The following is a 24,233-nucleotide window of genomic DNA, read 5'->3' as shown; positions in this document are numbered from 1 at the left end:
CAGAAGCTCAGTCAGCTATAAAACGCTCCCAAGGCCCCCCAGCTAGGGCATATTAGCACCATAATCTTAGCCCCGCTGGCTCTGAAGCCTCAAGCTCTAACTAGGATGCCACAGCACCACCCTCATTCAGGGTCCTGGGTGTGGCGGGGAGCGGGAAGAGAGGTGGAGGAGCCATGACAGCCAGTGCTCACTGAGCATCTCTCAAAAGACAGGCATCGTAAGGTGCCTGCCTGCTGGCCCATCCAGCTGTCCTAACAACCCTACCAGGCAAGCACTGTGTTATGCTTCCCATATTGAAATGAAATTAAGAAAACAATCCCATTTACAATAGCACTAAAAGGAATAAAATACTTAGAAATAAATTTAACAAAAAAGAGCAAGACATGCACCCCCAAAACTATAAAACATTACTGAAAGAAATCAAAGAAGACCTAAATAAATTGGAAGATATCTTGGGATAATGAATTATTAGACTTAATATTGTTAAGATGGAAATATTCCCCCTAATACTCAATGGATTCAACACAATTACTATAAAAACCCCAGCTGCCTTTTTTTGAAGAAATTGACAAGCTGATCCTAAAATTCATATGGAAATGTAAGAAACCCAGAATAGCCAAAATGATCTTGAAAAACAACAAACTTGCAGTACTCATACTTCATGATTTCAAAACTTATTACAAAACAACAGTAATCAAGACAGTATTGTATTGCCATAAGGTTAGAAATACATCAATAGAATTGAGAGTCCAAAATAAAACCTTATATTAATGGTCAATTGATTTTCCTTTTTTTTTTTTTTTTTTTTTGAAATGGAGTGTCCCTCTGTCCCCCAGGCTGGAGTGCAGTAGTGCACTCTTGGCTCACTACAACCTCCACCTCCTGGGTTCAAGCAATTCTCCTGCCTCAGCCTCCCGAGTAGCTGGGATTATAGGCACCCATCACCACCCCCAGCTAATTTGTATTTTTAGTAGAGATGGGGTTTCACCATGTTAGCCAGGCTGATCTCAAACTCCTGACCTCAGGTGATCCACCTGGCTTGGCCTCCCAAAGTGCTGGAATTACAGGTGTGAGCCACCACACCCAGCCATGGTCAACTGATTTTTGACAAGGGCACCAAGACAACTCAATAGAGGAAAGAATAGACTATTCAACAAAAATAATTGCTGGGAAAACTGGATATCTACATACAAAAGAATGAAGTTAGGCCCCCTACCTTACACCATATGTACACATTAATTCAGAGTGGATCAAAGACATAAAATGTAACAACTAAGAGACTATAAGACTTGGAAGAAAGCATGGGAGTAAACCTTCATGATCTTGGATCGAGCAATGGATTCTTAGATCTGACATCAAAAGCACAAGTAAAAATGAAAAATAGATAAGTTGGACTTCTTCAAAATTAAATGCCTTTGTGCTTCAAAGAACATCATGAAGAAAGTTAAAAGAAAACCTACAGAATGGGAGAAAATATTTGCAAATCAAATATCTGATAAGAGAATCATATCCAAAATATATAAAGACCTCTTCTAAGTAACAATAAAAAGACAACTCAATTTTAAAACGTGCAAAGGATCTAAACATACATTTCTCAAAGGACATATGTAAACAGCCAAAGAGCACATGAAAAGATGTGTGGTAGTATCACTCACTAGGGAAATGCAAATCAAAACCACAGTGAGATACCAATTCATCCCCACTAGGGGGAGTAAAATCAAAAAGACAGACAATAACAAGTGTTAGCAAGAATGTAGGGCAATCAAAACCCTTGTGCATTGACAGTGGGAATGTAAAATAGTTCAGCCACTGAGAAAACCAGTTCAGCAGTTCCTCAAAAATTAAATATTGAGTTAATATATGACCCAGCAATTCCATTCCCAGGTATATACTGAAGAAAACTGAAAACATGTATCTATATAAAACTTTGTACCCAAATGTTCATAGCAGCCTTATTTGCAATAGCCAAAAAATAGAAACAACCCAAATGTCCATGGACTGATAAATGGATAAACAAAATGTGGTGCATCCACAGAGTAGAATACTATTTGGCCATGAAAAGGAAGGAAATTCTGACACATGCTACAACATAGGCAAACCTTAAAAACATCATGCTAAGTGAAAGAAGCCACTCACAAAAGGCCACATATTATATGGTTCCATTTACATAAGTATAAATGGGATAGATAAATCCATAAACACTGAAAGCAAATTAATTGTAGCCGGGCCCTGGCAGGGACAGAACTGGGGTGTGAGTGCGAATAGATATGAAGTTTTTTGTTGGGGGTGATGGAAATGTTCTGGAATTAGACAGTGGTGATCAGCGCACAACTTTGTGGATACGCTAAAAACTGTTACACTTTAAAGTAGCATACTTTAAAATGGTGAACTTTATGGTGTGTGATTGTATCTCCACAAAGGCATGTAATTCGCTGCCACCAATGGCATGGCCTTGCTCAAGAACTCTGGAGGAGGTCCAGGCATGGTGGCTGACACCTGTAATCCCAGCGCTTTGGGAGGCCAAGGCAGGAAGATCACTTAAGGCCAGGAGTTTGAGACGAGCCTGAACAACATAGTAAGACCCTGTCTCCACCAAAAACAAAAAAATTAAAAATTAGCCAGATGTGGTGGTGAGCAACTACAGTCCTAGCTTTCCGGGAAGCTGAAGCAGGAGGATCGTTTGAGCCCAGAAGTTCAAGGCTGCAGTGAGCTATGATCGTGCCACTGCATTCCAGCCTGGGTGGCAGAGTAACACCCTGACTCAAAAAAAAAAAAAAAAAACAAAACACCTCTGCGGGTGGGAGGTGCTGTACTGGGTGTCTCGTACTGTGGCTCGGTCTTGTCCAAGACTCCTCAAAATATTTGTGTATCTCCCATACCCCAGGGCAGTACTCACGTAGTGGACATTGATCCTTTTGAGGAATGGCTAGCAAAACCAAGACTGCCTTGATCCCCACAGCTGTCGCTTGTCCACTGACTCAAGTCCCATCACAGTCCTCCCTCCCCCACCAGCCCACCCCTGACAGTGTAACTGGAGCAGTATTTCTAAAATACAGATTGGGCTGCATTACTTCCTTTCTTGAAACCCTCCAGCTGTTCCCCATAACCAGTCCTAGTTAAATGGCCTCATATTAGAATCCACTGGGAGGGTTTCTAAAACTATTGAGGCTCAAGCTCAACTCCCAGAAATTCCGATTTTACGGCTGTGGTCAGCAGGTAAGAGGCTCCCGGGGATGGCCACATCCTAGTTCACAGAAGCTGTGAATATGCTGCTCTAACTGGGGTTGCCGATGGAATTAGTGTGGCTATTCAGTTGCCCTTAAGAGAGGGAGATCATCCTGGATGATCTGGTTGGCCCAGTGTCATCACAGGGTCCTAAAAAGTGTAGGAGGGCAGCAGAGTGGAGCTCAGAGTGATGTGGTGTGGGGAGGACCCCCAGCCAGGACTTTGTTGCTGGCTGTGAAGATGGAGGAGGGGGCTACAAGGCAAAAATGTGGGCAGACTCTAGAAGCTGGAGAAGGCAAAGAAATGGAGTCTCCCTGGCATTTCCAGGAAACACACAGCTCTGCCCACATCTTGATTTTGGCCCAGTGAGGCTCATGTGGGGCTTCTGACCTATAGAACTGTAAGATAACAAATCTGTCTTGTTTTAAGCCACAAAGCTTGTGTCATCTGTTAGTAACAATAGGAAACTAACACACAGTTGATCCAGACAATGCCCAGGCATCGGGAGCTTTTTAACACACCTCAGGCACTGTGCAGCCAGAATTAAGAACCACTGACCAATGGTAATATTCCTCAGCTTTCAGCATTCACAAACACAGACTTCTCATTTTAAATAGACATTTTTAATGATCACCCATTTTAATAAATAAAACGTTTTTTCATTATTGTCAACTACCTCACTTTCATTTCTGAGAGGGATGAAGGGATGACCTTTTTGCACCCTTCACCAAAGCATCTGTGTCTGGTTCAGTGATGGCTAAGTCCAGCTAAAGCACAGGTCTCACTTCCAGGCAGTTTCTTTGCTTATTCTTTTTTATTCCTTTTTTAAACTAAATCAGAAAATTTTAGCCTACAGTTACAGGTTTTCAGAAATGACACCCATCTGTGAGACGTTCTGAACATTTGGATCAAACGTGATGCTAAACCTTTGGAGCTGTCCCTGAGGATGACTTACAGCGTCATCAGACACCACACTGGCCCCCCTCGCAGCCTGGAGACTGGGACAGAGCGGATTGGGGGAATGGCAGCAGATGGATTCCTTGTTCACTCTTTGAAGCATTTCACTCTAGAAAATATTTTCTTCATGTTCTGTAGCTGCATTTGGACATGATTTTTAAAATATGCCAATAACATCAATTTCTCCAACAAAAGGCAGTGGGTTAGAAAGAGCCCTTGTAAGAAATCCTGGTACTAGCCAGGCATGGTGGCTCACACCTGTAATCCCAGCACTTTGGGAGGCTAAGGCAGGTGGATCACTTGAGGCCAGGAGTTTGAGACCAGCCTGGCCAACATGATAAAACCTCATCTCTACTAAAAATACAAAAATTGGCCAGGCATGGTGGCTCACGTCTGTAATCCCAGCTACTCAGGAGACTGAGTATCACTTGAATCCGGGAGGCAGAGGCTGCAGTGAGCTGAGATTGCGCCACTGCACTCCAACCTGGGTGACAGAGACAGACCCTGTCTCAAAAAAAAAAAAAAAATCCCATTACCTGACATCACCACCAATTGTGGTCTCTCGCCTTGAAGCAGAAGGTTCACACCACTCCACGTACTGGATCCATCAATGAGGCACGCCCCAGGAACAAGCCACATGGCTCTAACTGCTTATTTGATTGTTTGACTGAAACTTGAACTCAGAAATGACCTACACTTAACAAGGTTGAGATGCTAGAGCTTTCCCAGCATGGAGGAGGGATTCCAGAGGCGTAGGGAGATGGGACCATTGGACTGGGTTTAACATGTGTGACCCGCACACCTCTCTCTCAACTACACACTGCAAGAAGGCTCCAAAGCACTCTCACTTTCACTTGGGCACTGAGAAATGCCTGGGAGCACCTGCATCCCTGAGAAGCTTTGCAACTGCTCTCTTTGGCAGGCAGGTGCGATGGCAGGGACACTGCCACTGAGCTGGGCTCTCTGATTTCAATGGGGATGATAGGGTTCCAAAGGAGCAGAGGCCAAATGCCAGGACTTGACCAGCAAAGACCAGGCGGCTGCGTCTGCCAAGGGAGGGAGCAGACACACGCTGGGGATCAAAACACCCTGGTCCGCAGGGCTCTTTGCCAGTGGCTAATTGAACATGGTATCCCTAGGAATACAAGAGGACTGACTGACGGAATAAAGCAGAAAACCTTAGGTCTGGGAGCCAAAAATCTGACTTGAGTCACAGCTGTGGATAGCAACAGCCTCTCTCCCAGTTCCCAGACCTAGCTCAATTCACAGGCCAAGATTCTTGAAAGTAAGGCTGGGTCCCCTGAGGAAGAAGCCTGCAACACTGCTTCAAGCACATGACACGCCTCCTCCTCCAGCCTGCAGATCATTCCCCAGTGCTCTGCCGGGATCCAGGAGCACACCTTCCTTGCCAGCTGGCACAGGGCTGATGAGCCTGTCAGTGGGCGGCTCTGGAGGGACACTGGTAAGAGGAAGGGGTTTCTCTTCCTAGTTCCACTGTGCTTTCCTTCCTTCCGACTCCCTTGGCACTCGCGGGTATGTGGGACGCCAGTGGAGTTTACCTCCAGCAGGTTTCAGCAGCACCCAACACGGAGCATCCTGGCTGAGTTCTGCGGCTGTCCCAGGCCTCCCAAAAAGTTCAGCTGCCCCACAGGCAGCCGCCCAGCATTCCCCGGGAGCCCAGCCTGCTCCAGCTTCCCAGCAAGTCCAAAAGCATGCCCTGCAAGCAGCTGTCCCGCAAATTTCTTTGGCATCCCAGCAAGTAATTTCCTGCCCACAGCTTCACCCTACCAAACATGAAGCCCTGGCCCAGGGCAACCCAGTGAACTTCTCCACCCTGGACTAGGCTGCTTTCGATTATTCGCTCCGCCCATGAGAGTGGCTGTGGGACACAGGTCTGGAGGTCCTCAGCATTTCTGTGCACTGTCATCTCACAGAGCAGCTACTGAACATGTGTGAATGCCCGGTTAGAAGGGGCACCTCCCCTAGGTTTGCTGCAGTCTCCCCCACTCCCAACTATTCAGACCTAGTATTCCTGCACTATGACTCCTACGTGGCCCCAGCAAGTCTTACCATCAATGACACCGCCCACCAGCTTCTGCACTTCAGGGCACCTGGCTCCTGGCAGTCCCAGGGAAAAGCTTCCCCACACGGAACTGGAATGTGTGAGACACATCCCTGGATACAAGGGACCAAGCTCAGGATGCCCCAAGACGTGCTGGGACTGTCCTACCAACCACTCTCTCCTCAGGGTGGCCTGGGCCCAGAAACAATCCTGACATCCATCCAGGCCACAGCACTGAGCTGCACACAGAGCCCTTCAGTCATTCCCAGGTCTTACGCAACAAACTTCAGCCAAATGGACTGAGAGCTCTTCCCTGTATCCTATTGCCTCCACACCCCATCCCTACCTCCAATGATGGCAGATCCCAGTTCTGTTCTCAGCCACTCCACATAATAAACAAAAACCCCCAAGTTAAAGGTAGCCTAATGAGGCAGGCAGTTCCCTTAGAAGTTTGAGGTGGAAGCCAGACAAATCCACCCAGAGTCATATGAGGCCAGCAACATCCATGAAAAAATGTAAACCGTCCCTGTGAGCCACAAAAAGACCCTGGCTAAGGTCCCCTTAGCCGAAGCTAGGTCATGTCCACGCCCCATCCATCCAATCAGGGAGAAGGGAATGGGGGCTCAGGCTACGTGGGTTTCCCTCAAGGGACTGGAAAGAGCATAGTGGGGTGGCTCAGGAGTCCCCGGCAGCTGGTAGAGGAGGACAGTGATATGACTCTGGCAAGGGCTCTGGGCAGGCTGGAATATGCCATGTAGCTCCTGCAAGCTTCCCACAGACCCAGCACCATGCATGAGCAGCACCCAATGTGGACATGTGAACAGAAGTTCAACTTCTGGCTAAGGCTATCCCCACAAAGGCTGCTCTCAAGGCCATCCCCACAAAGGCTCTGCTCTCAGATCTCCTCTCTGGCATGCGCTGTTAAGTCAAACAAGGACAGTGCACATTCCCTGCACACCTAAGGTCCTCCTCCAGCCAGAACTTTCTAGTGCAGAGTGAGGTGGGGCCCTTGGCTGAAGGTTTCCTCACACTGGCTGCACTCATAAGGACTGGGTCTCTGGTGAACATTTATTCCAGTGCTGAATGAGGAGGTCTCTGTGGTAGAAGGCCTTCCCCTATATCTGCATTCATGAGGTCTTCCTTGGATGGGATTTTGCCGAGGGTGAGAGGCTGGACCTGCAACTTAAAGCTCTTCCAAACAGGCTGTACTGAATGGCTTTTATGCAGCGCAAGCCTAGGATTTGGCAGGAGGTTCCTTCCATTCATTGCACTCCGAGCAACGCTCTGGGTGATGCACATTCCAGGACTAAATCATCAAGCATTTTGAAAATTCCATTCCATTCCCTCCTGCCAAAACCCCCCAAGTTAAAGGTGGTTAGGGTTAGGGTATGGTTCTCCGTTGAGAATTCTGCTGTGAGATGAATCAGAGCTCCATTCATTTATGTTATTTGCTGCTTTTAGGATCCTCTCTTTGTCCTTGACCTTGAGAGTTTGAGTAGTGTATGCCTTAGGGTAGTCTTATTTGGGTGGAATCTGTTTGGTGTTCTAGACCTTCCTGTGCCTGGATGTTTAACTCCTTCTCAAGCTTTGGGAAGTTCTCTGTTATTATTTCTTTGAATCTGCTTTCTACCCCTTGCCCTTGCTCAGCATCCTGAACACCCATGATTCTCAGATTTGGTCTTTTGAGGTAATTTTCTCTCTTGTAGGTGATCTTCATTCCTTCTCATTCTTTTTTCTCCTCTGTGTATTTTCAAAGAGACAGTCTTCAAGCTCACTGATTCTTTCCTCTGCTTGGTCCATTCTGCTGTTAAGAGCCTCTAATGAGTTCTTCAGTTCAGCAAATGTATTTCTCAGTTCCAAGATTTCTGTTTGATTATTTCCATCTTTGTTAAATTTCTCTGATAAATTTCAGAAGTGATTTTCTGTGTTCTTGGTGATCCCTGAGTCTCTGTAAAACTGCTATTTTGAATTCTTGGTCAGAGAGCTCACAAACTGTCTTCTCGTTAGGGTCACTAGATTTTTGCTTTGTCCTTTTTGAAGAGGTCACAGTTCCCTGTTTGCTGTTGTTTCTTGTGAGTATACATCTGTCCTTGCATTGAAGGATTATTTATTCCAGTTTTCTCTGTCTGGCTTGTTTTGGGTTTTATTGGATATTTTTGCTTAGCAAGTCTTTACCACTAGGTCACTGCCTCCTTTTCAGCTCCACATGGCACGTTAAGCCCAGGCTCACCTCAACTCCAGAACATGATGGGAGCTTTGCCTGTCCTGAACTGGGAAGGTCCCAAAGGAATTATCCCAGCAGTGTGACAAGGCTGGTGAGGGGTTTGTGCCCAAGGGAGCTGGGAAACATACCTCCTCCAGTGGCTGCTGCTGAACAGCCACTCTGATTTGGCATCTCCTGTGGCTGTTACAGAGCAGTCTCTCCAGGGCTGGGGATGGTAGTTCCCCCTCCCCCATTTGTCACTGCCTGTCCCCACAGATTTCCCTCTTCAGGCAGTCATGCTGCTGCCTGTCGGTTAATGCAAGGACAGGTCTCCTGCCAGGGATTCTAGCATGGTGGGAAAGCTGGTTGACCACCTCAGTCTCACCCTTCCCAGTGTAAAAACCGGTGAGTCGGTGATATGGTTTGGCTCTGTGTCCCCAGCCAAATCTCATCTTGAATTATAGTCCCCAGGTGTCGAAGGAGGGACCAGGTGGGAGATGATTGGATCATGGGGTGGTTTCCCCATGCTGTCCTCGTGAGAGTGAGTTCTTATGAGATCTGATGGTTTTATAAGTGTTTGACACTTCCTCCTTCACACACACACTCTCTCCTGCCACCTTGTGAAGAAGGCACCTGCTTCCCCTTCCACCATGATTGTAAGTTTCCCGAGGCCTCCCCAACCATGCAGAACTGTGAGTCAATTAAAGCTCTTTTCTTTACAAATTACCCCGTCTCAAGCAGTTCTTCATAGCAGTGTACTAATACTGTCAGGGAAAGATTCTCCACTCAATTGTTGCTAGGCAGAATCCGGGGAAGGGGCATCATGGGTGCGCAAGTCTGGCTCTCCTACCATCTGCCTGGAGTTTTTTCACTTCTTTGTGGCCCCAGAATCTGTCTCATACTCTTTTTGAGTCCTGGGTTGTTGCTGGTGAAAATCTCACACTGTATATTTATTTTGGTTTTCTGTTGGGGATGTGAAGCCAGCTTGATTCTATACCGCCATTTTAAAGCTGAAAATCCTCCAGGGCTAAATCAGAGCAGACCTTTGGCGGAACACTTTCTGTGCATTTGTAAGGACTTTCTATAGTGTGAACTCCCCGATGCTGAATGAACTTAGCGATATGGCTACAGGTTTTCCAACCTTTACTGCATGAACAAGGCCTTTCTGTTGTGAACCTTCCGGCACCAAAGAAAGGAGAGTCCTTTGCTGAATGCTTTCCCACATCAGCTGCACTCACAAGGCTCAGCACCACAGTGGACTCTCCAGTGTTCAATGCAGCTTGCAGCTGGAGTTGTGGCTAAGAAACTTCCCACACTCACGGCACTCATGAGACCTTTCTCCAGCACTGGGTTCCCTGTCCTCGGGTTCTCTGGTGCTGAACTGTGCATTTGCAGCTCATGGCCCCCTCAACATGCCATACTTTCCAGGTGAAAGGTTCCCCCAACTTCGGTGCTCCTGTGTGGCTCCCCTCACCGTGACGGCCTGCTGCTGAAGAGGCCAGTGCTGGGTCCCATCCTTGCCTCACCCTAAGGGCTTCCACGATGTGTGGACTCCACAGCTTTCCACAAGGCCCTGCCCTCGGCCCTCCTGCAGCATTTCTCTCTGCTGTGCTGCTTCTGGGCTGGTTTAAACAGAAGCCAAAGCCTCTCCCACATGCCTCTCATGGGTATGCTTTCTGCCCAGGGTGTGCTCTCTGGCACTCAGTCAGGGGCAAAATGCTTTTCAAGACTGGGCATTTTCTCTTCACCTCTCCCCATGGAAATGACGATTATTCAGCTTTTGCTCACACACACTTCCCATCAGTCCTCCTCCCGCCCTCCATTCTCCTAATAGGCTTCTATCATAATATGGTTACTGTTCAGTGCTTATATTTTAGGACTATATAAATACTATTCATAACTAAATTATATGATAGTATTACTGCGGTAACTTCTTCTTTCCTACCCATTTTCCTTGGAGTTACGTCCCTTGGTTTCCTAGGTACTTGTCAATAATTCAATCTCAGCTCCTATGTAAACCCTCAATATGTTCAGAGGCAACAGGTGTCCTAATAGTTAAGCTATCTTCTCTGGAGCCAGCACTAAACCCAACCTGGCTGCCTTCTATGCTGAGTGCACGGCTGCCATCCTGGAACCTCCTTTTGCTGTGCTCCTGGGGAGTCACCTTGCTCTTTGCATTGGATCTCCCATTGCCTTTATGCCATGCTTTCTCCTTTTGGAGTACATTCTCTAGTCCTTTTATTTAAAAGGGCGTGTAAAGGCCAGGCACGGTGGCTCCCACCTGCAATCCCAGCACTTTTGGAGGCCAAGGCAGGCAGATAGCTTGAGTCCAGGAATTCAACACCAGCCTGGCCAAGATGGCAAAACCCTGTCTTGACAAAAAAATCAGCCAGGCACGGTGGCACATGCCTGTGGTCCCAGCTACTTGGGAGGCTCAAGCAGGAAAATCACTTGAGCCTGGGAGGTCAAGGCTGCAGTGAGCAGTGTTCGTGCCACTGCACTCCAGCCTAGGTGAGAGACCCTGTCTCAAAAAAATAATAAAAATAAATAAAACAGTGTGTGGAATATACATTTTTAAGGAGCCTACAAGTCTTTTGGCATGCCTTTTAATCTATCTGGAAATAATCTTCCTTCAGAATTGGAGAAGGCCCACATTCCGTGTTTCCTATGTGGCATCTGAGGACTGCAAAGTTATTGATTCCTAATACTCTGCATGTGTACTGTTCATTCCCTCCAGCCGTTCCCCGGTGTTCTGAAATCTCACACTCATGTGCCTGGATGTGCACACTGATAAGGAATGGAAGAAGGCAGGGTGCTTTCTCCTTCCATTGCGTTGAAACTAGGTGCGCTGAGCCCTTGTAATCCGGAAACTGACAGCCTTCATTCTCAGAATTATTTTATTTGCTGGGATGCATTGAAAGATGTGTGAGGGCATGTCCGGGGCCACGTTACGTGTGAGGGCATGTCCTGGGCCACGTTACGTGTGAGGGCATGTCCTGGGCCACGTTACGTGTGAGGGCATGTCCTGGGCCACGTTACGTGTGAGGGCATGTCCTGGGCCACGTTACGTGTGAGGGCATATCCTGGGCCACGTTACGTGTGAGGGCATGTCCTGGGCCACGTTACGTGTGAGGGCATGTCCTGGGCCACGTTACGTGTGAGGGCATGTCCTGGGCCACGTTACGTGTGAGGGCATGTCCTGGGCCACGTTATGTGTGAGGGTATGTCCTGGGCCATGTTATGGATGGCTAACTTTAGGTCTTTCCTTTTAGGCTGGTGAGATTCCTCAAAGAAGTCTCGTTCTGCTTTATTTCTTGCTAGAGGATACTACTGAGCTATGGATTTTAGATACTGAAAGCTGAAAGCGGCACACCTCCTCTGGTCTTTCACGAGTTTGAAGTAGGCACGGTTGCCCAACTGTGTGGAATGGGGAGTCTAACGGCTTCTTAAACAGGCCTCGACTACTAGTTTCACCTTATCTCACAACTACTTCCAGGGGTACCTAGAAGTGCCAATTCCAAATCCTCTGGGAGCTCTGCGAGACAACTCGGACGCTCGGATGTTCCCATTTCTTTCTTACAATGTAGATTTCTCAGGTGTTTCTAAGTCAACTACCATTCACCTATTTTCTGGAGAGGTTCCCAATTTTGTTGCTATTTTTAATCATCCTGGTGGATTTATGTTTTAAAAAAATTCCCTGTCATATCAATGGGATTTCAGGAGGAAGCAATGGTAAACAGCTACATCTAGCTGTACAGGAGGCTGGGAAATGAAGCCTTTATTCTGGGAATCCAAGTGTCCAGCTAAAAACTTTGAGTTGTATTATCACAGATGGAGAGAGTGGATGATGAATGGAAACTAGCAATCTCTGCCACATAAATCCAGTTAGTTTCAAGGCAAAGAGAGACTGAGACCGCTCGTGATAAAAAGCCGCCTTTGCAGGAGAGTAGGAGAGGTGGCAGAGGTTCCGGGACAAGGAATGAAGAGGCAGAACACACAAGGAGTCGCTGACAGATGGATGCATGTCTTTATTTAATTCGTTCATTCCAGGTTCATCCCACATCTTCACATCTCACCCTCCCACCGTCAAAACAGGTCCCATGTAACAACAGGGGGCCAAAAACAACAGGCTTGCCCACAGTCTCCATCACCCCCTACCCCACGGAACACTGTGGGGACAACGGTACCTTGCTTGAAAGCCACAGGTTTCAAACACTTTTAGGGGCACAACTCTCTTCAAACTGGAAACCACGAGCCACTACGTAGAACAGGCTGTCAGGGAGTTTCAACCTGGGCAACATTTGGGGTACGTCCCTGGAGCCCCAAGTTCCCTCAGAGCAGGTGAAAACTCCTGCTTCAGAGCCCTTCTTTCTATCCAATCACTTGAAACGTTCCATAGAAAGAAGAAAGAAAAAAGAACTCCCTTCTTGAAATGCGAATACCAAGATTTCGCACGACCAACACTTCCACCTGTTGAAATAAACAGTCCACAAAATTAAGGCATTTGGGGGCAATTAGAGGGAAGTAAAGCATTTACTAAAGTTACAATATCATATCAAAAGTGTTCATTATGCTTTTGAAGGCTCTTAACTAGGCACAAGGGCAGAAACAGTCACGGTCCCGGCCACTGCAGGCAAACACGTGTTGATTACCAAAGCAGAAAGGGAAACAGAGAGCTGGTGGTGAGCATTCTCTTCAGCAGGTCCCCAGGCACCAGGCCCCCCTCCAAGTCATGCCTCACATGCCCAACAGCAAAGAGAAGCAGTGGGAGCTGAGCAGACACTGCAGGGCAGGGCAGGGCACTGCTGGCTAAATTACAGCAGCAACTGTACACACGAAACAGCTTCTTCATAAACACCATTCTCAAACTGGATTTATGCACATTCATACACTACCTAGTATATCTAAGAGATCTTGAAATCAAAGCAACATAAAAAAGAGAGACTCGCCTGCAATCCAGGCACTGAGCAACGACATGTCAAGGCAACAGAAATCCCCCTCCTGCCCCCACTCACTTCTCCATCCCACTGTCTGCTGAGAATTTCTAGTATTTATTCCACACATCACTGTACACTTCAAAATCTGCACATTCCTCTCCGTGGAATTCTCCTGGGATGTGAATCCCACCCACGTGCATCATGTACACATCTAAACTGTTTCATTCCACACTGAGAGGTTCGGGTTTGGAGCGTTCATTCCACACTGAGAGGTTCGGGTTTGGAGCGTTCATTCCACACTGAGAGGTTCGGGTTTGGAGCGGGAGGAGGGGAGTGAGGCATAAGTGAGAAAGGAGGTCACATGGCCCAAACAGGTACTTCCAGGAGGCCAATCCCAGCCGGTAGGGATCCAGGCCCCGGGAGGCCAGGCCTGCTTGCCGAGTACCGACGGCCAGGTGAGGAGGCAGAAGCTGTAGCCCCAGAGCCAGAAGACCCACACTAGTGTCATCACCAACATACAGGGGGGCCACAGGCTCCCAGTGCCCAGGTTAAGGTGCAGTCCTCACCGAGAAGGCCACATCAGCTTCCTGTGAGTGTGTCCCATGGATCCAGGGGTGGCCAGAGGCCCATCACCACGGGTGTTGGCACTTCCTAAAACCGCACGCAGCGATCTCCAGACTCGTTCTTGGCCATGAGCAGCAGAAATGCTGCAGTGCTGCCTGCCAGCGTACAGGCTGTTCAAGAACCCAAGAGGAATTTCTCACCAATACGTAAACATGCACCACAGCTAGACTGCGGTTCCGTGACTTTGGGATTTCAGAGACAGGCGAACTTAAGAAGAAATTCTGGGGCTGACAAACAGCAACCAACATTTTGTTTTGCAACCAAGAGCATTTCAAAAAGCAAAAATATTGCCCTCTACTTTTACCTTCATTACATAAAAGGAAATTTTATCATCCAAATAAGGAAGAAAATAACTTCAGAATAAAGAACAATCCTTTAAGTTGAACAAATGTGACTTCATCAATTATTTACCATGCTGTTCTCATACGCCTCACCTGCATAGAGCGCTCTGTCCCCAGTGCTATGCTGTGGGCCACAAGGACTCTGGCCCATCGGGGTCCACAGTCCAGCCCGGATCTCCCAGGGTCACACGTTCATCCAGCCCTGTCACCATCTCAAATGCATTTCCACTAAGAAGAGGGACAAGTCACCAGGACAGCAGTTTACACACACATGGAGACTGCTTGCGTAACACATTGCTTCCCATGTGACCCCACAAAACCCTGCCAGAAAGGCACAGCAGGAAGCCTTGTCCCTGTCTGAAGTGGAGCTGCCTCTGTTAATAGGGATGTGGCCAAGGCCGCACGGATGGCAGCAAAGCACAGGCCAAGCGTCTCTCTCAGGCAGACTCTTCCTTGGCTCAGTCCTATGTCTGCTGTATCTTCCTCTCCTTCTCTCAAGAACTTTTAATTTGAAGAATCAATTCATTGAAAAAGGAAAAAGAAAACTTACTAAAAACAATTGTTCCTTCTCTTTAAAATTACCTGTTTAACAAGTACATTTTAACAATGTACTAAATTTTCAAATGTCAAAAGAAAACACCAAAAAACAAGCATTGTTGCCTTAAACACTTTTCTGGAACAAGGCAGAATATAAATAAATAAATAAATAACACGAGTGATGCAAAGAGTCACAGAATGTGGGTGATATTGATGGGTTTATCTAAAACCCCTCACCCGGGACTCCAAAGCTGAATTCTCAGAGTTACCAACGTTGTCCCCCACCCCACCACAGCCCAGCCCAGCCCATCTGTTGACAGCAGCCAAGGCCCAGGGCCCAGGACTGTTCCACAGCCACTGGCAGTGGTGACAGTCAGATGCTTCTGGGATGCAACCAGGGGCAACCTTCAGGCTCCTTCCCCCAGCCCATCGAGCCCCTCTCCTAGGGAGGACTCCGGGCCAGCCAGGCAGCAGCCTCACTGAGGACCACGTTTCCCTGTCCCATGGGACTTGGGCGCCCCAGGGCTTAGAAAGGTGATTTCCTAAAGTGCTTAGGCGGAAAGTGCTACTCTTCCTATTCTGTAACCTGTCCTTGCCAACAGAAAAAAAAGGGAGCTTTAGTGAAGGAAGGCAATGCCACTAAAACCCAGGAGGAATGACCTTAGCTACCCACCCTGTTTTCAGATTCATATTTGGCAGCTATGAAACAAGATACCAAACCTCCAAATTGTTTGGATTCTGAAAAAATTGGCAAAGGCTGGCTTGAACAGAGAGGAAGTTGAACATGTCCTCTGCAAATGAAAAGCTGAGACCCTAGACACCTGCAGGCCAGCCAGGCTGGGCCACAGGCCAGGGAAGGGCCATGAGAGGCCCCCTCCTCCAGCTCATTCTCTCCCCAGATACATCATTCCCTGGCCAGGTCTGGGTGAGTCTTCTCTGCAACGATCCATTCAGTCCACTCCTCCTAGAGAGACCAGGGGCAGTGACCTGGTCCCTCCAAAACAGGCCCTGGGCTGTGCAAAGGAGCATGACGCCCATGCTGCCACATCTGGGTCCTTGCCTCTGTGCAGCCTGAAGGTCACACCACCACACTCACGCATGGGACTCCCACGAGGCAGCATTCCCAGGTGCTGCTTCCCAAAAGGTTCAATAACTGAGCCACCTCCTGCACCGGGCAGGGCTGGGGAGGCCTCGTCCTTAACAGGCCCCTGCAGAAAGTACTCAGTAGAGCAGACGCAGAGCGTATCATGTGTCTACAACATGGCTCACCTCGAAAAAAGCCACCCTCCTCTGAGCCCAAAGGGTGGCAGGAAGAAGAGCCTCGAGGTGGGAGGAGCTAAACAGTAAGCCAGTAAAGAGCCAGAGTGCAGGGAGCTAACCAGCCTCCCTGAAAGCCCCTATCAGCCCTACCAGGGTGATGAGCCACTGCCTACGACCTCCAGTGACAAGGCCCAGTCCACGGTGGTGGCTCCAACTTCCGTATCATCATTCCTTAACTCCCTATAGCTCCTGCCCCAGCCACAGCCCAATTTTTGTCCTAGTCCCACTTTGGTACCACAAAGAACACGCCCACCCCCTCTCCCGGGCTGAAGCCCCTGCAGCACCCAGCCCCGGCTGTCCTGGCCCTCCCCAGCCGCTCACCACCTGCGGTTCCTCTCCTATCTTGGGAAGACCCTCCTGGCTTCAGCAGGACCCAATCCCAAGCTCCCCTCGGGAACAGCACACAGCCCACATTTACACAACCATCACAGCTTCTAACAGTGTCACCTCAGCTGAGGAAACACCTCCCGGATTGCATTTTCCCCTCTGAATCACCCGAGGACTGTTCTTCCCTTCGGAACTGCATCTGCACATACACGGGTCAGCTGGGGTGACCCACACAGAGCCCATTTGTGACACAAGGGGTTGGGGGTATAGAATTCTATCCTCTGGCTGTAGAACGCAATAATGGCCAGACACTGCCTGCCTGCTAAGACACACAGTGATGCTACTAAGTAAATAAAACGGTATCATTGTTCAAGTTTTACAAATTGGATTTCTCTTATTACAGAAAATCAAACACAGATTTGAAATCTGCGCCTTCCTAAATATATCTGAAGTCTAGAATCACCATGGATCCACACAATGGTCCTCATGGGCTTCAAATGACGAAATGTGATTCACTGGAAACAGCAGCAACCTGGGAGGGCTCTGAGGCTGCAGCCACCAGCCCACCTGCCGGTGACCCTCACACCTGGCTGTGCAGCCCTGGGTAAGGGGAAGCCCAACTCATGCAGCCAAAGCTATCAGCAATGATAACCCAGGCCATCTCTCTCCCGGGAAAGACTTCTGACCTCACTGCTATCCCCTGCATAGATTCTAGAAGCAGCGACCAAGACAAAAGAGAGCAATCAACCAACCGCCAGATGTTCTGTCCACTGGACAGCATGCGCCTGGAGGCTCATAACCACCCAGAGGACTCGCTGCATTTTTCACTTTCTGGTACGTGTGGGGGACAGAAGACAGCGCCTCGGGCATTTTCCTCGCCTATTAGAACTGGCAGTGAATGCTGTTGGAACGGTCCTTGGTCCCAAGGAAGGCAGTCATTTCCTGGGGAGTTTGGTGTGGGCCTCCTAAAATCAATCACTGGAAGCTCCCTAAGGTGAAGTGGCAGAAAAATCGTGACACCTGATGAGAGGCACAGTAGGTGTTGGAACAGGTGCCGTGCAGCCAGGAAACCACCCTTGAGTGAAGACACTCACTATGAGACCTCCATCGCAAAGAGAGAATACTGAAGGGGCAAGGAAGGGGCGTGTATGACAAGCGCATGTGTTACCCCAGGAGCAGGAAAAACCAACCAGCAAGTTCATGAACTGCATTTCTGTCCTCTATTTTGCTTACGAAACTCCCTTTTCATTGAGATACTAGAAGGCTTTAATCGAACCATCAAATTGAGAAGTAGAAAAATAAAGAGAAGCACAGTTCCAGAAGTGCTGGGAGTCTTCCCTACAGGGAAATTAGTAGGCCTCCAACCTCAGCCCCTACATGTACATACCCCATGGCCCGTTACATTAATATGCAACTGAAAATCCAGAACAGAGAACTTGGGAAAAACAATAATAACTTTAGTATAAGCCTCTCAGCTGACAATGACCCAAGGACTGTTCAGCGGCCCAGGCACCTGAGGAGCAATGACAGTCTACGAGGACATCTTCTGCAGCAACAGCCATCAGGAGACCAGCAGCAGCACAGCACTCAGGGCTCGGTGTCCACCTCCCTGCAGATCACTTTCTCCCTCACTGGAATCAACCGCAGCACTTGGAGTCTACTCATGGAGTAGAAACTTCTTTATGGGGTCTGGCAGAGGCAGCGAAGGAATCAGATGAAGCCGGTGTTTGCCAAGAGCTCTTCTCACAGCCACACGGCACAGACACAGCAAGGTTCTGGGAACACCTGAAGGCCGTGGGAAGAAAGAGAGGGATAGAGGAAGGTTCATTCTATTCCAGTTATAGAGAGAAAAGGCAGCTGGGACTGCCAGCCAGAAGTGCACCAATGCTCACTACCAACTTCAAAACGCTCAGTGAAACACAAAGTGATGGCTTTTCCTGATGGATGAGGAGAGCAGGCCCCAGGGAGGAAGGTCTTCTTATCTGCTCCTTCTGTCGCAGGAAAGAGCGAAACCTTTCCAGCCTCGTTAACCCAGGGCATCTGCTCCCTGGATCACAACTCGACCATGTTTAATGCACTAGAGAAAGAAATCAGAGTGGACCACTGAAGGCCCCAGCAGGTGCGGGCCGCGGACGCCCAGCCTCTGTCAGCCCCTTCCCTTAGTCAATCCCTGAAGCTCCACCAGTGCCTGGGGAACACAGGCTGAGCACTGCTTGAGGGGCACAGGCTGACGACTTTGCCCCCAATGAAAAGAGCGCAGCCAAGTTCTGTCTCGATTAGCGAGGAAGCTGAGGAGTGGAACAGTCCTGAACGCAAGCTGCTGCTTCTATCAGTACAGCTCCCAGCTGACCATTCATTAACTATTTGTGGGAAGGCTACACAGGAGCATGCTTTAATGAACTGGTTTAGGGAAATCCAGTAACAAAAACACAATGAATTTAAAGTCCTTTGAGAGGCAGGGAGAAGGAAGAGGTTATCAACTTGGATGTCTCAAGACCCAGACTGGGAGCGGTGGGAGGGGGTGACATGTGGGCAGGAGGTTAAAGACAACACATGAGGTCAATGTCTGAATCCCAGAGAGCCTCGGATAACAAGACCAAGCTATGGATCAATTCCAATCTCTGGTGCTATTGATGCATTAATCGTTAACAAAATCTTTCTTCATAAATAAGCAGACCAGGAACTTTATTGTTACAAAATTTAGGCTTATCACACAATCCAAAGTAGCGATACTTGAGTGGAATTGAAGAAAGGAGAGTAAGGAACCCTAGAAAGCCCCGCTTGCAATTTGTTTTAAGGGCTCATTTAAAAACCAGGCATAAAAGAAGTCACTGTCTATAAGAATCTGGGGCCACAGGTCAGAGCAAAAGGATAAAGAGAATATAACTCTAGGCCAAAGCAGTGGCTCGTGCCTGTAATCCCAGCACTTTGGGAGGCTGAGGCGGGCAGATCACTTGAGCCCAGGAGTTCAACACAAGCCTGGGCAACACAGCAAAACCTCATCTCTACAAAAAACCCAAAAATTAGCTGGGCATGGTGTGCACCTACAGTCCCAGCTACTTGGGAGGCTGAGGTGGGAGGATTGCATGAGCCCAGGAGGTCATGGCTACAGGGAGCCATGACTGCACCACTGTACTCCAGTCTGGGTGACAGAACCAGACCCTGCCTCAAAAAAAAAAAAAAAAAAAAGAGAGCGCGAGCATAATTCTAGGAGTTCTGACAACACACATGTACTTTTAGAGATTCCCTGATATCAGTTCTTGGTATTCAGGAATTTAAAAAGAGAAGATCAATCTGAACAACCATCTGGAAAACTGCGAGTTCTAACTGAAGATTTTGGCCAAGTGCTCAGGTGGAGGTTTTTGTTTTTTGTTTATTGCTACATCTTGATTCATTCAATCAACCCAGCCCACAAGTCAGAGCTGAACTCAAGCCACTTACTTCTGGCCTCTTTAAAGACCTGCAAGGCCTCAGGGTCCACTTTTCTTCTTCCTCTCGACTCTGGGCCCAGCGATTCCCACTTCACTAGATTCAGGTTGGCTCCAAATTCTACCAGCAGGCTCACGAAGGCTGCCTCACAGCCGTGGCGCAGAACAGCATCCATGACGCACCCAGGGGAGCCCCTGTAGAATCCCTGTGTGTTGACAGGACCATTGCAGTTGAAGTCAGGGTTCGCGCCAGCCAGGAGGAGCAGCCGGAAGCACTGGAGGTTGTGGTAGGCTGCGCTGATGTACAAGGGGCAGACCACCAAGGAGGTGAGCCGCCGGGAGAATCGAGGCTGGACATCAGGAGTCAGGTGGTGGTTGACGTCAACATCAGCCCCGTACCTGCAGGGAAGAAAGGGAAAGTCAGACTGTGCAGGGGACTGACCACAGCCCACAGATCCCACAGATCCAACAAATCCCACAGCCACCCTGAGCAGAAGGCCTTGATTCAGTGACACCAGGCGCTGTAGGAGACTCCACAGATCAGATAGCTTCACTACGTTCAGCAAGATAAGGTAGCAGGAAAGAACTTGGAATCCCCGCACACAGAAAAATTCCTAAGGGAAGTCCTTCAAACCATTAAAGGTCCAATAATCCCAAGGCTATTTAAACTATTTCAGAGCAAAGAAAAAGAAGAGAAACTTACAAATTCATCTGATGAAACTGGCACAATAACCCCAAAGCCCAACAAGGGCCAAAGCATAAGAAAAACTACCAGCTAATTTCATTTAGGAATACCAACTTTTAAATCTTCAATAAAATTTTAGCCAAAGAGAATCCTTAAGTATATTAAGAAAGCAATATACCATGACCTCATGGGAGTTATCCCAAGAATGCACAGGTAACTCCAATATTAGAAACTCTATTAATATAATCCATTGTAAAATGAGGCTGAGGGGGAAATCCTCTGATTATCTCTGCAGATGCAGAAAAAAAAAAAAAGGTGGGCATATGACAAAACTCAAGAGCTATGCATGTTTAAAAATGCTCAAGAAAACAGAAAGTGATGGCTTTTCTTTAACATGATAAAACATACTCCCTCAGGCCAGAAGTCAGCATCTCATTTAACAGGGAAAGGCTAGAAGCACTCCGGCCAAAGCTGGAGCAAGACAGACTCCTGCTTTCCAGCCTCCTGTTGAACACTGGTGTTAAAGGTACCCTGTGCAATCAGGCAAGAGGAAGAAATTAAATGCATAAAGTTGGAAAATAAGAGGTAAAAATTTCCTATTTTCAGAGGATACAATGTGTCTGAAAAGCCCTAAATAATATGGGAAAACAACTAACAAGCAATGAGAGAACTTATTGAAGTAGCAGGTTGTCAAACCAATAGGCTTCATATAAAAAGTAGAAGGGAAAATTCCATTTATGATAGCAAAATAAATTTTACTATGACATATCTAAGCATAAACTTAATAATAAATGTCCAAAATTTGCATAACAAAAATGATAAACTACTACTTAAAGTCAACAAAAGTAGACCTAAGAGAATGGAAAGACATAGCACAGTACTGATTAAGACTCAACATCAAGAAGATAATTCTCCCTAAATTTATTTTATAAATGAAAATGTCATTACTAGAACTAAATAAGTTGATTACAAACATAAATAAATAAAAATAGCATCCCCGGAGCTACATTAGTTGATATATAAAGTTCATCTGTAAGATGAAAGAATATGAAAAAGACAAGCAAGAAGGGGGTGGTGGGAGGTAGCCACACCATAAGTGAAGTTTATTATAAAGGCTAAAAATAAAACTGTGGCACTGGTATGTGAACAAAATTGACAGAATGATGGAACTTTACAGAAAATCTTGAAATGGGCCAAATTGCACATAGAAATTTCATATATGATAAAGGCAGTATCTCAAACAAGGGAGGGTGTAGATGTTTTACTAAGTGTTTTTTGGGGTAACTGGACATCCATATGGAAAAAGGTAAAAGTATATCCATTCACCATAGCATATACTGGAATAAATTCCAAACTGACCATAACTTAAAACGTAAAATATGAAACCATGCAAAAACTAGAAAAAAACCTCTAAGTAAAATTTGCCTAATTCTGACACAAAATCCACAAATAAAATGTTTTTAACATGAAAATTTTTAAAAGAAAAACTCTTGCATAGCATAAGCATGACAAAACAACGTAAGTAAAAGTAAAACAAGCAATGAAAAATTGGGGGAAAAGGTTACAAAGGGTTAATACCCTTAACGTATAAAGAGCTTCTAGAAGAAAAAGATCAATAGCCCTACAGAAAAATTAGAGAGATGGGGCGGGGCGTGGTGGCTCATGCCTGTAATCCCAGCACTTTAGGAGGCCAAGGCAGGTGGATCATCTGAGGTCAGGAGTTCAAGACCAGCCTGGCCAACATGACGAAACCCCATCTCTACTAAAAACACAAAAATTAGCCGGGTGTGGGTGTGCCTGTCATCCCAGCTACTCGGGAGGCTGAGGCAGAATTGCTTCAACCCGGGAGGCGGAGGTTGCAGTGAGCTGAGATGGTACTGCACTCCAGCCTGGGCAACAGAGCGAGACTTCATCTCAAAAAAAAAAAAAAAAAATTTAGAGAGATGGACAGCTACAAATGGCTCTTAGCCACATGAAAACACACTCAGCCTCACTCGGAACAGAAATGCAAATTAAAACTATTCTGAGATATCACTTCTCACCTATCAGATTGGGAAAAATCCAAAAATTTATTGACCAGGCTTTTAGGAAACAGGAAATCTCATTCATTGTTTGAGCAATGAAAAGTGAACTTTCCCCCTGTGGAGTGGGCAATCTGTCAATCGCTAGCAAAATTACATATGCATTTACCCTTTGACCCATCAATCACACTGCTCGGGATCTATTTCCAAAATACATCTGCAAAACTATGGAAAGATGTATGCACAAGGCAATTCATTAAAGCACCATCCCTAACAGCTGGAGACAGTAAACCACCCACGTGTCCACTAACGGGACTGGCTGAATGAACTGCAGCTCATCTGCACAACGCCACGCTGTGCAGCTCTGAAAAGGAGTGAGGGGGTCGCTGTACACTGCTCCGGAGCAGCCTCCGAGCACAGGAAGAGGGAGGGAAAGCAGCACAGTGAAAGTGTACAGTCCACTACTGTTTCTGTGGGGGAGGAGGTTGCAGTGTGCTTATGGTAAACCATGGAACTTTTTAAATGGTTATCTACTGGGGAGGGAGAGAACAGGATCAAGGAGACAAGGATACAAGCTAGATTTCCAAAAATTTATACCTTGGCCAAGCGCGGTGGCTCATGCCTGTAATCCCAGCGCTTCAGGAGGCCAAGGCAGGCAGATCACTTGAGGCCAGGAGTTCGAGACCAGCCTGACCAACGTGGCAAAACCCCGTCTCTACTAAAAATACAAAAATTAACTAAGTGTGGTGGCGGGCACCTGTAATCTCAGCTACTCAGGAGACTGAAGCAGGAGAATTGCTTGAACCCAGGGGGCAGAGGTTGCAGTAAGCTGAGATCATGCCACTTCTCTAGCCTGGGCAACAGAGCGAGACTCCATCTCAAAAAAAAAAAAAAAAATTGAAAGCAAAAAGAAACGCATGAACTCAATCAGGTATCCAGCTGGCGCCATGATGCGCTGCCCACTAGGACATCTTTCTTTTCAGGCACACTAAACATCCAGACTCCCATGATTAGCACAGACCACTCCCAGCGTCACGTTCACCTGGAAGGCCCCAGGCCAGGACGCACAGCTTGTCGGCAGGGCAGCGTCACACAGCTCTCCACGTGGGCATGTACACAGCCATGAGTGAGGTAACCCCTAGGCCGCCCCTCCTAATCCCCAGTGACAGCCCGATGGGAGGAAACAAATCTCACATAGGGCAGGTGTAGGAGCCACCTGACTTAGAAGCCTCATTCTCCACCAAAGCCAATCTCTAAATGACTCCATTTACTTTACTTGTCCTTGTCACTGTACTCAGAGATGACCAAATATACGGCTCTCTATCAGACGTTTAGGGTTCTTCCAGGGCAAGTGCAAACTACCAATCATTTTCACTCTGAACAGGGATCAGTCAATGAGGGGGCCCTGGCTCAGAGTCAGAGTCCTGACAAGGTGAGAAGGCCACCTGGCATGAGAGGTGAGAGCCCAAACAGGTCAGGAGCCATGTATGGGAAGAGGCAGCAAAAGGGGGGCTGGCTGGTGCCACACAGGGGACAACAGGACAACACAGGCAGTATGTGGAGGGC

At 47.5% G+C, this 24,233-nt stretch overlaps 1 protein-coding gene, 1 long non-coding RNA gene and 1 pseudogene across 3 annotated transcripts in view, besides 5 other annotated features; 1 reads left to right on the top strand and 2 right to left on the bottom strand.

Moving 5' to 3' along the window:
• The first annotated feature begins 3,838 nt into the window (after window positions 1–3,838).
• On the top strand, window positions 3,839–14,238 carry LOC107986003 (uncharacterized). Its single transcript, XR_001739969.2, has 2 exons — window positions 3,839–13,622; window positions 13,657–14,238. It is a non-coding gene; the product is annotated as an uncharacterized LOC107986003 (long non-coding RNA).
• Window positions 9,376–9,876: an enhancer, noted in NCBI's record as "H3K27ac hESC enhancer chr2:239363467-239363967 (GRCh37/hg19 assembly coordinates)". NCBI's record gives its function as "activates a minimal SCP1, AML or CMV promoter by ChIP-STARR-seq in primed H9 embryonic stem cells {active_cell/tissue: H9 hESC(primed)}" and the evidence as "EXISTENCE:reporter gene assay evidence [ECO:0000049][PMID:30033119]".
• LOC100419686 (zinc finger protein 256 pseudogene) lies at window positions 9,506–10,180 on the bottom strand (annotated as a pseudogene).
• ASB1 (ankyrin repeat and SOCS box containing 1) overlaps window positions 12,452–24,233 on the bottom strand; it is a 25,324-nt gene continuing 13,542 nt past the window's right edge. For both annotated transcript variants that reach the window (NM_001040445.3, NM_001330196.2), the window contains 2 exons: window positions 19,975–20,360; window positions 12,452–18,318 (listed from right to left, as the gene is read on the bottom strand). In NM_001040445.3, coding sequence (NP_001035535.1) covers window positions 18,191–18,318; window positions 19,975–20,360 — 514 coding nt within the window. In that variant the 3' untranslated portion in view covers window positions 12,452–18,190. The remainder of the gene's footprint in view (window positions 18,319–19,974; window positions 20,361–24,233) is intronic.
• Window positions 13,407–13,912: an enhancer, noted in NCBI's record as "H3K4me1 hESC enhancer chr2:239359431-239359936 (GRCh37/hg19 assembly coordinates)". NCBI's record gives its function as "activates a minimal SCP1, AML or CMV promoter by ChIP-STARR-seq in primed H9 embryonic stem cells {active_cell/tissue: H9 hESC(primed)}" and the evidence as "EXISTENCE:reporter gene assay evidence [ECO:0000049][PMID:30033119]".
• Window positions 13,913–14,420: an enhancer, noted in NCBI's record as "H3K4me1 hESC enhancer chr2:239358923-239359430 (GRCh37/hg19 assembly coordinates)". NCBI's record gives its function as "activates a minimal SCP1, AML or CMV promoter by ChIP-STARR-seq in naive H9 embryonic stem cells {active_cell/tissue: H9 hESC(naive)}" and the evidence as "EXISTENCE:reporter gene assay evidence [ECO:0000049][PMID:30033119]".
• Window positions 23,265–23,764: an enhancer, noted in NCBI's record as "H3K4me1 hESC enhancer chr2:239349579-239350078 (GRCh37/hg19 assembly coordinates)". NCBI's record gives its function as "activates a minimal SCP1, AML or CMV promoter by ChIP-STARR-seq in naive H9 embryonic stem cells {active_cell/tissue: H9 hESC(naive)}" and the evidence as "EXISTENCE:reporter gene assay evidence [ECO:0000049][PMID:30033119]".
• Window positions 23,765–24,233: part of an enhancer, noted in NCBI's record as "H3K4me1 hESC enhancer chr2:239349077-239349578 (GRCh37/hg19 assembly coordinates)", that runs on past the window's edge. NCBI's record gives its function as "activates a minimal SCP1, AML or CMV promoter by ChIP-STARR-seq in naive H9 embryonic stem cells {active_cell/tissue: H9 hESC(naive)}" and the evidence as "EXISTENCE:reporter gene assay evidence [ECO:0000049][PMID:30033119]".

The sequence above is a fragment of the Homo sapiens genome, chromosome 2, assembly GCF_000001405.40.
Source record: "Homo sapiens chromosome 2, GRCh38.p14 Primary Assembly".
In the NCBI taxonomy this organism is placed as follows: domain Eukaryota; kingdom Metazoa; phylum Chordata; class Mammalia; order Primates; family Hominidae; genus Homo; species Homo sapiens.
Note: the sequence above shows the minus strand (reverse complement) of the source record. Positions and strands in the feature narration are given on the sequence as shown.